General features: G+C 44.8%; 1 protein-coding gene across 3 annotated transcripts in view, besides 1 other annotated feature; it reads right to left on the bottom strand.

Moving 5' to 3' along the window:
• The window catches only part of SHISA6 (shisa family member 6), a 322851-nt gene that overhangs the window by 293868 nt on the left and 14876 nt on the right, over positions 1-14107 (bottom strand). For all 3 annotated transcript variants that reach the window (NM_207386.4, NM_001173462.2, NM_001173461.2), the window contains exon 2: positions 6670-6830. In NM_207386.4, the coding sequence (NP_997269.2) occupies positions 6670-6830 (161 nt within the window). The remainder of the gene's footprint in view (positions 1-6669; positions 6831-14107) is intronic.
• Positions 11729-11917: a silencer, noted in NCBI's record as "fragment chr17:11161596-11161784 (GRCh37/hg19 assembly coordinates)". NCBI's record gives its function as "represses an EF-1alpha promoter that drives an FKBP-Casp9 reporter gene in an ReSE screen in K562 erythroleukemia cells {active_cell/tissue: K562}" and the evidence as "EXISTENCE:reporter gene assay evidence [ECO:0000049][PMID:32094911]".

Here is a 14107-nt window from a genome sequence, read left to right as displayed (position 1 = left end):
GAGACTAGCCTGACCAACATGGTGAAACCCTGTCTCTATTAAAAATACAAAAATTAGCTGGGGGTGGTGATGCACACCTGTAATCCCAGCTACTCAGGAGACTGAGGCAGGAGAATCTCTTGAACCCGGGAGGTGGAGGTTGCAGTGAGCTGAGATTGCACCACTGCACTCCAGCCTGGATGACAGAGCAAGACTCTGTCTCTAAAAACATAAAAACTTACAAAATAAAAATAAATAGGTAAAATTAATTTTAACAATTAGTGCTCAACAGTCGCATGTGGCTAGGAACCAATATATTGGAGAGTGAAGACTTAAAATTGTCTCGCTTTTGTGTCAGATGCGCTTCGATTGCTTTATACCTACATTGATGTCACCTCCCACTTAAGTGACCCCTGTGTGCCTCAGTTTCCTCACAGGCCAAGCATAATTCTGGCCAGCTAATCTCACCATCTCCATAGGGCTCCAAAACCTTATGAGGCTATCATCTCAGACTCCTCCAGAACAACAGTTCTGTTTCTTTGGGGATGACTGAGAAAAGAAAAGTCCTACTTCCTGTGAGAAGCTGAGACTCACCAGAAGTTTCCCAGTTCAGCTGCACAGCCCAGGTTTTCTGGCTTCATGGGCAGCCCTAAACCTGTCCCTGGGAACAGGGACTCTCTGGGTTGCCTGGGCTTCCAAGCCACCCGTGCTTTCTTAGCAGGGTGGAAAGAACTGGAAGGGCACCCTGGGTAACAGTCCCTCTGAGCCCAGCCATGGAAGCGAAGCTCCCAGTCCCTGGCTGCGCTGACCCATGGAGTTCTGGGTCAGCCCCAGATAGGAGGAGAGGGGCCACAGGGCTCAGTAAGAAGCCTGGGCAGGCCAAGCACAGTGGTTCACGCCTGTAATCCCAGCACTTTGGGAGGCCACGGTGGGTGGGTCACGAGGTCAAGAGATCAAGACCATCCTGGCCAACATGGTGAAACTTCGTCTCTACTAAAAATGCAAAGATTAACTGGATCTGGTGGCGGGCTCCTGTAGTCCCAGCTACTTGGGAGGCTGAGGCAGGAGAATCACTTGAACCCAGGAGGTGGAGGTTGCAATGGGCTGAGATCGCGCCACTGCACTCCAGCCTGGGCGACAGGGCAAGACTCCATTAAAAAAAAAAAACAAAACAGACAAACAAAAAAAACTGGGCACCGGATACCAGGACCTTCTGGCTCAACCAGCTGGCTGGTGACCAGCCTATGGTTTATGCAAGTGACGGACACCATACTTACTTTACAGAGAGGGCTACTACATGGGATGCAGTCTTGAAGGGAGTTCTTCAGCATGCAGCAGCTGCATAACCAGCATCTGTGCTTGGATCCTACGCCCATCCAAGTAAAGGACTATGTCATCTTTCATCATTCCCTGAACAAACAGCTCTTGAGCAACTAGGATTTTCCAAGTGATGTTCTTGGTCCTAGGATACCACAATGATAGGAAGATAAAACCCTTGTGTACCTGGGGCTTAAATTCTGATGGTGACAGATAATAAACACATGAACCGACAAATGTATGATGTTAGATGATGTAAGTGCTCTGAGAAAAGTAAAGCCGGAGATGGTAACAGAGAAGGTTAGGAAAGGCCTCTCCAAAACAGTGCTGCTTGAGCAACAGATTCCACAAAACAAATACCTAGTGCTAGAAAATTTGGGGCTACAGAAACAGAAAGGGGGAAATATCTCAATGCAAGAATACAAACAGCATGAGAAGAAACAGTGTGTCTGGAGAAGACTAGTGTGTCTGCAGCCTAGGAGGGAAGCAGAAGGTAGTAGGGGTTGAGGTCAGAGAGGCGTGGGGGGATGGGAACCAGGGCATGCAGGACTGTGGCAGAGTGCTCCTCTGCCACCTGTGCAGCCTCCATTCTGGGTCTCCATGAAGCTTAGAGAGTCATGACCCTTGGCTCCCTTTGTCTGCCATTAATGGATATGGCTTTGACAACAGGCAGGATGACTGGCTGTTCTTTTATACAACTCACAGTGGTATGTAGATGGGCATGAATATTTATTGTCTCCAGATGATGTCACTCTTGATAAAGTGAAGTTGGACATCAACATTCTGTAACCTCAGCACATGATCTCATTGCTACTGCCAGGAATGGGCACCCCACTCTCCCCAGAGGCCCCAGGACAGGCTCTTTAGGAGGGGGTGAGGTCAGGCAAACATGCTGGGTCTCTCCTGCTCCCCATCTACGAAAAGCAAGCCCACAGCAAGCCTCTAAGGTGCTGGACTCAGGGAACTGCAACGCTAGGTACGGTGCATCTCTTCATGACTTCGCTTGGTCCCCTAAACAATCTTTTTATTTCTACTTGTGCCCGCTTTTGCCCAGGGGTCTCCTTTCAAAGCTCCATACTGACCTCCTCCCTCTCTCAGATAAGCCTGAGTCTTCCACTCCCTTCAGCCCCACCCATTAAGGAGAGGACTGGTTACGACAGCCACACTCACTCTGCCTAGCCAGTCTGCATCTTGCAGATCTTGATGTGAACCTACATTCAAAATCTTCAAAGAATCTTTTCCTTATTTGACAGCTTTCCTCCAGTTCCCTCAAAACTTTAAGAGCTCAGTTCTCAAAGTTTTCTGGACAGGAGAACCACGTGGAAGTTTGTTTTTGTTTGTTTCTTTTTTAATATCAATGCCAGGTCCTACTATAGACCAAGTAAATTAGAATCTTTGGGATGGGGGCAGGCATTGGTATTTTCAGAATTCCCCACACAACTCCAATGTGTGACAAGGGCTGATAATCACTGAGCTAAGAGAGGTCTTCTTCAACTTCATCATGTGTACAAATCCTCTGAGGATCTTGTTAAAATGCAGCTTCAGATTCAGTAGGTTTGAGGAAGAGCCCAAGATTCTGCATTTCTAACAAGTTCCAATGGAATGCAGTTGCTCCTGGTCCATGGACCACACTTTGGGTAGCAAGGGTCTGCAGGCAGCCAGATTTGAGGGGTAAGGGATTAAAGCAGGGTTCACTGGTTTTCTACATTCAAACCAAGTGTTCCTTATGGGGCAATCTTTAAAGTTGGAAAGCTGCTTCCTGGAAGAGTTGGGGTAAAAGGCTCTTATAGAAGGGGACAGGATTTTTCTGCTAATGTGGGATTAGAAACTTTCACATCTAAGAAATATTACAGGATCCATTCGCTATTACGCATAAAGTGCCTAGCAGAGTACCCAATACATAGTAAGTTCTCAATCTATGGTACTTGTGTTATTATTGTTTTCATTATTACTGCAGGACTCTCAACCCACATCCCAAACCAACAAAGCATGTGCTTTCAATGTCCAAAACCCTGACCAAGCTCCACAAATTCCTTTCATCCCCAGAGGATGTGCCTCAGACAGGAGCCAACCACAGGAAGGCTTGAGTCCAGGGACCTTCATCCCACACACAATCCCATGGGCCCTGCCTGGTCTAAGGACACCAATGCATTGCCTTTGGTTCTTTCATTCATTTGATTCATTTTCCATGAGCTGTGGATGTGCCTTCATAGCCTGGTCATGGCTAACAGTCAGTGTTTGCTATGTATGGGGACCTGTCTTAAGTGCTTTACTTGGTTTAACTGATTATACCATTAAAACAACTCTGACCTACAGGTATGATTGGCTTCAATAGCAGACAAAGAAACTTGGAAAGACAAAGAATCTTGCCCAAGATCACATACATAGTAAGAGACAGGGCCAAAAAGCAAACTGAGGAACATACTTCAATGCTCAAGCTTTCCCAGTGCTTCTCAAACTCTAATTGCCAAGTGATTTCACCAAATTACAGGTTCTCATTCAGCAGGAGAGGTAGAGTCTGGGATTCTGCATTTCCCACAAGCTCTCAGGTGATGCTGATGTGGCTGACCCACCAACACCATCTTGAGTAGCAAAGCTACTCATATGCTCTGATGCCTGTTGGTGTTGCTGGATATCTCCCTTAATAGCCCCCTAAAAACTTACTACCATACTCCTACAATTGATGGTTTGTTGATTTGATGAGTGGCAAAATTACAGTAAATTTCCACTTTGAACACTCATGCAAAGTTCTGTTCAACTTCTGCTCAAACTGCAATATTTTGTGGCAAAGGATATCAACTGCTTGGAAAAGCATTGTGTCCATTATAATCTGTAGAAGCTGCGGCTTGTGATGAAATTGCTTTTAAATTTAAGCATCACAACTGAGAATGCTTTCTGGGCCAGGATACTATTCCCATCTCTAAGCGCAAAGTGAAGAGTTCCAATTTGAGAAATTTGAGGAGAATTTCTTGAAACATAGAAGTGAATCATGTAACTGGAAGCTTTCCTTCTCAGCTCACTAGAAGAGACGAGGTATACAGAAACCAGAAGAAATGACAAATCTTCCTGCCCTGTGAAGGGTATTTAAGGGCAAATCCAGACTGTCCACCTAATCAGTCTGTGTTCAGCAGTGGGGAACCAGCTCGCTTGAGAATGAGACAAAGAAAACCCGAACAGAGAGAGGGGAAGATAAACAACCAGGGGTGCTTTTGATGCCAGAGTGACCTGAAGTTTCAGAGTCACAACAAGGTTCTGGTGGAGAATGACTTCAAAGGATGAATCCTTGGAAAAATCAAAATACACTACTCAAAGGTGGTGATAATACCAGAGTTGGGTTCAACAGTGATCAATGACAAAAAGGATTAGTTACAATGGTGCCTCTATGCAACTCCCACAGCCCAGTGACTCTCAAACTTAGCTCCACATTAGAATCACCTGGGAAGTGTTAGCCACCAGCCCCCACCCACCTCCATTCTCAGGCCACACTTCCACATCAATTCAGTCAGTCTCTGGGGATGGGGCCCAGACATCCTTAATTTTTAAAGATCCCCAGTTGATTCCAATGTGCAGCCAAGTTTAAGAACCATTGGGCTTAGGTTTTCAGTGTCTTCACTCATAAAATGAATGAATCCTTCAGAACCAGTGATTCTGACCACTAGACGCATGTTAGAATCACCTTGGGGAGATTGTTTAAAACACTAATGTGATGCCAGCACCATCCCTAGAAATTCTAGTGATTCTGTGGAGCCCAGGCATCAGCAATTTTAAGACCTCCTCAGGTGATTCTAAAACGCTGCCATGTAGATGACCACTGGTCCAGAAGTTTTTGCCAAGATTCCTTCTATTGCTTGTTTTAAGGACCTATGGTATTAAAGCTGAAAATGCATCTTAGACATTTTGCAAAGGTGGAGCCCTCATCTTTACCTTTACAGCAGAGGTTTTTAACTTTGGATGAATCTATTAATTCCCCTCAATCATATACAAACTGTTGATTGAATATGAATATGTATATGTATTTGTATTTTTCAGGAGGGAGTGTCATCTGCCTTTATTAGGTTCTCAAAAGATTTAAGAATGCTATTTTAAAAGCAAATATTAGGTTTCTGACGTAATAAATTTAAGAAAATTAAAGAATGAATGGAAAATAAATTTGGTCTCATCAGCACCTTTGCTATAGTTTGGATTTGATCACACCCACTGCCACCTAGTGGCTATATATCCTTATTGCAGGTTTAGTTCAGATCACATTGCCCATCCTCTGAAAACTGTTGAGCAATAGATGTGCAGATTTCAGATCCAAGCATCAAAGTAAAAGCTTTCTCTGGGACTAGGATTAGTACCAGTAAGAGGCTATCTGGAAACACTCACTACAAGAGATGACTTCCCAAGCTGTACTTGTTAAGGAGACTGTCCACTCAGATATTTTGGATTCATACCCTTAACTGGGTAAGGATATTACGGTTTCCTAGTTCTTACTGTTGTTAACTATTTGCCTTGGCTTGAATCTTGTTTTTCTCTCTTACTAATCATGTGACCTTGGGAAAGTTACTTAACCTTTCCATTCCTCACACAAAATGGGGATAATATAAGTACTTCTAAGATTGCTGTGGAGAATAAATAAGAAAATATATGTAAAAGGCTCAGCATGACTCTTGGCACAGAACAAGATTCCAATAAATATTTAGGTTATATTACTGTTATTACTGATTTTTAAATTATTATTAACATCTCAGTGACCTTGTTCAAGTTACTAAATTTCTTTGAGCTGCATATATTGACCCGTAAGACAAGGAAAATAAGCCCTGCCATTTTCTTCACAGTTATAGCTATGATAAGTACAAAAAGTAAAAGGCATATTGTTATTTTATGGCAACTCATCATACATCCAGGGAATCTACAGAGCACAGGAAAAGGTCACTCAAAAATACAGATGTTAATTCTCACCCTCAGGAAGGAGCTCTTTGAGATCCCAATAGTTGAGCAGGCTCTACATTGGGGTACAGTAATTTCTTGTCACATATCTAGCATCCTACTCAGCCTAAAGTTTCCCACCACGTGGGCGAATGGATGGCCATACCCTGCTATGGATGCTGCAAGCTCCTTTTCCGGTAAGAGAATTATACCAACCACTCACTAGGTCACAAGTGCCTGAAATTGTCAGTCCTCATCCAGCCCAGACACTGACCGGCAGCAGTCTTGCCCATTCCAAACTCACCCCAGGGAGAGAGTCCCAAAAATCTTTTGCCAGCCTGCCTGTCCATGAGAGTCCCTCATCACACCATCATGGTCCACAACCTGCCCCACCAGAGCAGAAACATCCTGAAACCTCTCACCAGCCTCAGCAAAGAATCAAGGTGCCCAGCTGTTACTTACCTGGAGTCTGCTTGGCCGTACGCACAGGAGTGTAGTGGTTTTTGGAGGACGATCTGACCGGCGTGTTCTCTTTGGGAGAGGTATCGATAGCCGAGATAGTTTCTCTTTCACAGTGTGCTATGGGGATTGGTCCCTGTTGTCTTAAGATGTCAGCCAGAGCCCTAAACAAGGAGGAGATCACATAATGAGATTCACTGAGCAGGTGTGCACAACCATGAGGGGAGTTGGCTTACTTTCATATGCCCTTTGATTTACAGAGATGCAGGAAGAGACAGAGACAGCATTCAGCTCTCAATAGTCAGCTACATCTGGTGTTGGTCTCAGGGGGGACACAGGGTAAAGGTTACCATGCCTGGAGGTACAGACTAAAAGGCTGGGACTACGGTTTCTTTCTTTAATTTATTTCACATCAGTAAACTCTGAGCCCTTTCAAAATACTGGCTCCCCAAATATCCACCTATGCCAGGCAGGTATCTATAGCAGCTGGCCAGTGGAATGCCACTATGGTGAAGGGCTGAAACCATCGGCCTCAAATTCAGCAGCAGGTCACTAATATCAGGGGACCACTTCATCATCCAAAACTACACACTGAGTATCATGTACTAGATACTGGAGACCCAAATAAGTACAACACACAGCTCCTGCTATCAAGGAAGGGTGTGATTGAGCTGCAAAGACAGGACATAGAGATGAAAAGATAAAAATCAAAACACGTGGATGGTGCAGACATTGAAGACAACTGGAGTTTAGAGGAGGGAGCAATCACAAACACAGGGGAAAAATACACAGGAAGAAAGAGAGACAGGCAGAGACTCTGCCATAGCAGGAGAGACCCGCCCCCCTGCAAGAGGTCCAGTTACTCAGAGAAAGCAGCTTTTGTTAACTCAGCGCCTAGCTTCAACAACCAAACATGCATTGACTGACGATTCAGCATGCATCAGTCATTGAAGAGACACAGATCAATGGGACCCAATTCCTGCCATCTAGGGGTTCATAATTTAGGGGGAATCGCTCTCCTATTTGCTTTCAAACAGGATGCCCTCTGTGGGTGTGACATGTGAGATACCCACTGGCAGTGGGAAACAGATGAGTGTGGACAGCCACAAGAAACTACACCTGGATACTGTCACTTCAGATCCAGGTCCCCAGTCCTCAATGCACTCCCGTTTTGCACATGCCAGGCAAAGACTATTCCATCTTCTCGAGGGGTGTCTCTGATGGGTGGGGCCCTGCCCACCCCAAGGCTTCCCTCTTACCAGGAGTCCAGCTCCAACACTCTGCCCCCATGAAAAGTGACAACTGCAGCAGTTTAAAAATGCATCTGAGTAAATTGTGGGGGAAAGAATAGTTTCTTCACAAAATGGTCCTGGGACAACTGACTGGATCGCCACATGAAAAAGAAGGGAGTTGGATCCTTACCTCACACCATATAAAAAACTAACTCAAAATGGATTATATACCTAGATATTAGTCCCAAAACTGTAAATCACACTGAGATACCTTTTCATACACACTAGGATAGCTATAACCAAAAAGCCACATAATACCAAGTATTGGCAAGGAGGTAGAGAAATTGGAGCCTTCATACACTACTGGTGGAAATGGAAAACCCTGCAATCCCTTTGGTAAACAGTTTAGCAGCTCCTCAAAACTGCAATGTTCCTTAAACGCAGAATTAACATATGGCCCAGCAAATCTACTCCTAGGTATTCCCAAGAACAATGAAAAATATATGTTGCATTAAACTTGTGTACAAAGGTTCATAGCAGCAGTATTAATAACAGCCAAAGGGTAGATACAACCCAAAAGTCCATCAACTGCTGAAAGGAAAAACAAAATGTGGTCTATTCACACAATGGAATATTATTCAGTCATTTAAAAAAGGCATACTGATACCTGCTATCACATGGATGGACCTTGAAAACATCATGCTAAGTGAAAGAAGCACACCATAAAAGACCATGCTTCTGTAACATACCCAGTTAGGTAAATCCGTAAAGACAGAAAGCAGAACTGTGGTTACCAGGGGCTGTCTCTAGGTCATGTGAGAAAAGAAGAAAGCAGCTTGCGCTATGCGATGTATCTTCTGGGAGAGGGCTCCTGATGCCCAGTGGGCTGCACTGAGCTGGTCAGCACAGCCAAGAGAGAGGGGTGTACAGCAAAAGGTGTTTCTCAAACAAGGGCTGCCTGACAGGCTACCTAAGGATGGGAACCCTGCCACATGTTGTAAAGTGCATGGCAGCTATGGAAATGCTCCTGGTCCCACACCCATGTGTGACCATTCTCCAGGATCCTTCCTTTCCCAGTACCCTCTGGCAACTAGGAAGGAAGCCCTCATTCCCAGACCACGTGGCCTTAAGAGTGAGTCCCTCTGCCTACTCCCCCTCCCCCTCCCTCCATTGGTGACCCCCCTCCTTGCTCTGGTTCCTCTCCATCTTCCATCCCCTTCTCTCCAGGGTGCTCAATAAATATTATTCTAGTTCTGAAATGTGCGATTCTGGTCTCACCTAATTAACTTGAATATGCCGGAGGAAATGGGTTAAGGCCTGAGCTACTTTCTAACCGTAGGAAAGAAAATTGGTCACTGAGGAACAGCACAGCAGATTTTGCAAAAGAGTGGGCAGCAGCTTCCAGCATCTGAGAGAACAACAGGGAGAGTGAGACAGTAGCAAACAGAGAGGGAGAGAAAGGGAGGGCTGGGGGCAGAGGTCCAGAGAGAAAGAGAGGAGAGAAAACAGGTGGAGAGAGGAGAGAAATGGGAGATGGAGCCAAGGAGACAGAAGGAGAGTGAGAGGGGGTCTGAAACCCCAAGCAAGAGAGAGCAGGGAAGGTTCAGAGAAGAGAGTTAGTGAAAGTGACAGGCACCAGGAGACAGAGAGAGGAGAGGAGGCAGAGTCTGAGGGACAGGCAAGCAGGTAGGAAGAGCAAGAGGGAGAGTAAGCCACAGAGAACCAAAGGGAAATCCAGAGATAAAATGCGATTCAGAAGAGACAGGGAAAGGGGGTCAGAGAGAGACATTCGGAGGGGAAGAGTCAGACGGAGAGAGACACAGAGACGGCCAAGTGAGGGACTCGGGACACGACAGGCTGTCAGCAGGGCCCTGTCACCCCCCATGTGGACGACAGATGTGTCTGATTTAGGAATCTGAAGTGAAGAGTCACCTTAGTAGTATGCTCCTTCCAACCATCCCCCACCCACAGCGAGCCCTTTTTGCTGCAATATCTGATATATCAAACAAAAGAATTCTTTTGCCTGAATTATCTGGATTATTGCCTAGGTTTGATGCTCCCTTCTGTCTATTTCTTGGCTTTCTCGGGTGTGTGGTGAGCAGGGGAGAGTAAATTAATCAGGCAGCAAATCTGATCAGGGAAAACAGTCATTGTGATCAGGCCAGGAAACTTAAGCTTTCTTCAGTACTTGGTATTGTGTATTAATCACCTTAATAGCAAAAGTATCATCTTACATTTGGATAGCACTTAATAATTTCTCGATGCATTCACCTGCCCTGTCTCATGTGATTCCCATCCTATCCCTGTGACCTTTGCAGCTATTATTACCACAATTTTTAACAAGGAACTGAGGTTCAGGCTAATTCCAGTACTAACACATATTGGAACAGGGATTTAACTTCAAGGCTTCTGACTTGAGCCCGGGCATCCTTCTGTTCACTGGGACTGCCTCTTACATACATTTCACTTCCTACAAATCATCAGCTTTAATGAGTCTTCCTGGTCCCTCCAGCTGGGTCAGCTAATTTAGCAAATGCCAGTTAATATTTGGGCATGGAGAAACAATTAGTAAATGAGTGATTCAGTTCAATACCAATTATGTATTTGCTTAAAACCTTGGTTATTGTTGTCAGTGGTCCTGAGGGAATGAAAGTGTATCTGAATTTCCGTAAGTGCTTAGTTATCTCAACACCTGCAGGGACCAAGCCCAGTCAACATTTTAACGTGTTACCACCTGCATTCAGGATATGAACTAGTGCTTAAAATGGCAAGTGATTTCCCTTAACAACAGAAAAATAAACAAAACCTTGTTCATAACTTTGCCTCACAGTCTTGTCTGCTCGAGATATTAAAGACTATCATTTATTGAGTGATTACTATGTCCCAGACACTGGCTCTTACATGCATTGGATCATATATTTCTCAGAATGCTCTTACAAGGGATGTGCCATCGGTAGCCCTATTTCGTTGTTAAGAAAATGAAAACTTTTAGAGGTTATGTATGTTACCCAAGGTCACACAGCTAGTAAGTGCTGAATTCACATTCCAAACATAGGTAGGTTAAACTACAGGGGCTGACTATATACCACTGGATTATCCATCCATCTAGCCACCCATCTCTCCCTCCCTCCATTCATCCTTCCCTCCCTCTTTCCATCCCATATCCCAACCATCCAGTCACCTCCTATCTATCCAAAATTATATCCATCTCCCCCAATTCATCCCCTCATCCATCCATCCAACACTCTATCCATCAATCCATAAAACACTCCATCCATCATTGAAGACTTCATCCTTCCATCCAACTCTCCATCCATTCATCCATTCCTCCATTCATCCCTCCACCCAACACTCCATCCATCCATCCACTTAGTCACATTTGTCTTCTTCACCTACTATGTCCCTGTAATGGTCCCTGAACACAAGATTTTAGAGAGTGTTTAATCGTTGGGGCAAAGACCTACCCAGACCTAAGAACTCAGCTGTGGCTGAACTGCTCAGTGCTATTCACCTTAGTGTGTCATTCACATCAACAGCTCTACAACCTTTTACACTATTTTAGCAGCCATCTTTTTTGCCAAATGAAATCCTGACTAGAACACCAATATACTTCACCAGACCCCTGCTGTGCATAAGGCCAGTGGGAAGTGAGGGCCCTGTTCCTCCAAGCATTTCCCAGTAGTCTGGCAGGATCTACCCAGCTGTCCCTGGACTTCATGGAGTTTTCAAATTTTAAAATAAATATGGTGAAAGAGCACCAAAATGAAAACTTGGATTATTTTTTGTCCCAATCTTCATTCGCTGAACAGATGGTCAAACTTAGTTCCCCCCAAATTAAGTGGGGGAACCTAGAGCCCCTTAGTTCACCTGGTAATTCTTTTAAATCTCAATCAACATGCCCTCCATGAGGACCCCATGAATACTGCTGCTCACTGAAGTGGTGCAATGGAAACAAACCTTCGGCCTCTGCCACGTCTCTGGATTTCTGAGCTGTCTAAATGCTGTGGAAAGGAGAAAACAAGCTCAGCTATTATTCAGTAAGTTATTCTGTGCCAAATGCAAGGCAAACTGGATAGTTTCGAGCCCTAATCATGCCCTTTCTCTTTTCGGGATGGTAGGAAGAAAATGATGCTGTTGGATAAGTATGATAAAAGGCCAAATAGATGAACTATTCCGTGAATAAGCTATTCTGGTTAATGTTCTTATTTCTAAGGACTAATGAGAACACTCTTGTTTTTGAAGAACTTTCTAAAAGCATTCCTGCCTAATTAAGTATACTGAATATAATTAATTTTTTTATAAAATTCAAGGTTCTTCACAAGAGGGCCATCAGTCTAATCTTTAGTTCTCTTCACAGATGAAAACCTAAGTAATATGTAGACAGTCTAGGAAATGGAACTGTTCATATAAAAACTACAAGACAGATGGTGGAAATTGCTTGTTTTTGTTTCCTTTAGGTAAGTCTCTGATAGCTAATTCTTTTGTATTTCTCTTGAAAGCAGAATGTAGATACTTTATTCCAGTTAAATAAAGGATATGGGTTATTTGAGTCCCAGATAACTGAGCTTTTCCTCTTTCTTCCCTTCCTGCCTTCCTTCTTTCCTTTCTTTTCTTTTCTTTTTTTCTTTTTTTTTTTTGAGACAGGATCTCACACGGTCGCCCAGGCTGCAGTGCAGTGGTGAGATCACGGCTCGCTGCAGCCTCGGCTTCCTGGGCTCAAGCGATCCTCCCACCTCAGCCTCCCCAGTAGCTGATACTATAGGCAAGCACCACCACACCCAGCTAATTTTTTAATTTTTTGTAGAGACAGAGTTTCACCATGTTGCTCAGGCTGGTCTCGGACTCCGAAACTCAGGCAATCTGCCTCCCTCAGCCTCCCAAAGTGCTGGAATGATAGGTTTAAGCCACTACATCCGCCCCTGTGCTTTTACTTGATAATGACCTCTTAAGAACTGTTGGTGTCCTCTTTAACCTCATCTCACACTTACCTACTGGACAGTCGGAGTGCTTCCATTGTCTAAAATATGTAGCCAGGACAATTGAAATGAATGTATTTTTAACAAACATGGACCAAGGAGAACGGCTTAATTTAGTTTTCCCTATTACCGGTTCTCTCGGAGTCCACTTGAAAAACACAGCTGCTGGCTTTGTGTGTGCACAAGACTGCTCTCCTCATACAGAGAGGCTCAGAACGGCTGTGGAGATCTCATTTGTTGTGTTAACAATGTCTGTGCATCTGCATTGAGCTGTTCTGCAGGTCTGAGTTGTCCCCAGCACAATTGAAATTCATCATGGCCAATAAACGTCGCAGGACTCAGTGAGGGAAGGCACGGCCTGCCTGTTTTGTTTTTCAGGCAAGCCGAGCGAGTTTCTCCATCCCAGTGGGTGCCTGTCCTGGCGCTGTCACTAGGCCAGCCGGGAGCCAGGTAGAGAGTAGATGTGCATCCCCTGGGGGCCCAATTCAATCCTAACAGCATCATCTTCACATACTCCGTTCCTTACATTAATCATATGAAAATTCCCCCAGGCCTGAGAAATGTGGTAGCGTCAATATCAAACCCAGACTTTTCAGAAATACTTGGATTGTCTGAGAATTCGTTGAAAACGTGGATGTGTCAGGTGCACCTATTATTATTGGAAGCTGGGAAACCAAAAAATGCTACCAAGATTTGGTAGCAGGGCCATATGGTCAACCAGGGGACAGATGAGTTCATAACTGTACCTGTGTACAAGGTGCAAATGGGCTGCTGCTGCCATTACGATTCTTGTGATTGTTGGCGTTGTTGTTTTGTTTTGTTTTTTGAGATAGAGTCTCGCTCTGTTACCCAGACTGGAGTGCAGCGGTGTGATCTCAGTTCACTGCAACCTCCGCCTCCTTGGTTCAAGTGATTCTCCTGCCTCAGCTTCCCGAGTAGCTGGGATTAAAGGCCCCTGTCACCACGCCCAGCTACTTTTTGTATGTTTAGTAGAGATGGGGTTTCACCATGTTGGCCAGGCTGGTCTCGAACTCCTGACCTCAGGTGATCCACCCAACCTTGGCCTCCCACAGCGCTGAGACTACAGGTGTGAGCCACCGTGCCCGGCCGGTGTTATTTTCTTTATTTGCAATGGGCTCAGACCTAAACCTGGAAGTGAGGCAACACGTAGGCAGCACAGCCTAATGGCCACACACTGAGATTCTCAAGCCAGAAAGCCTAAGTTGGAATGCT

This window comes from Homo sapiens, chromosome 17, assembly GCF_000001405.40.
Source record: "Homo sapiens chromosome 17, GRCh38.p14 Primary Assembly".
Lineage (NCBI taxonomy): Eukaryota > Metazoa > Chordata > Mammalia > Primates > Hominidae > Homo > Homo sapiens.
This window is presented reverse-complemented; position numbering and strand designations above follow the sequence as displayed.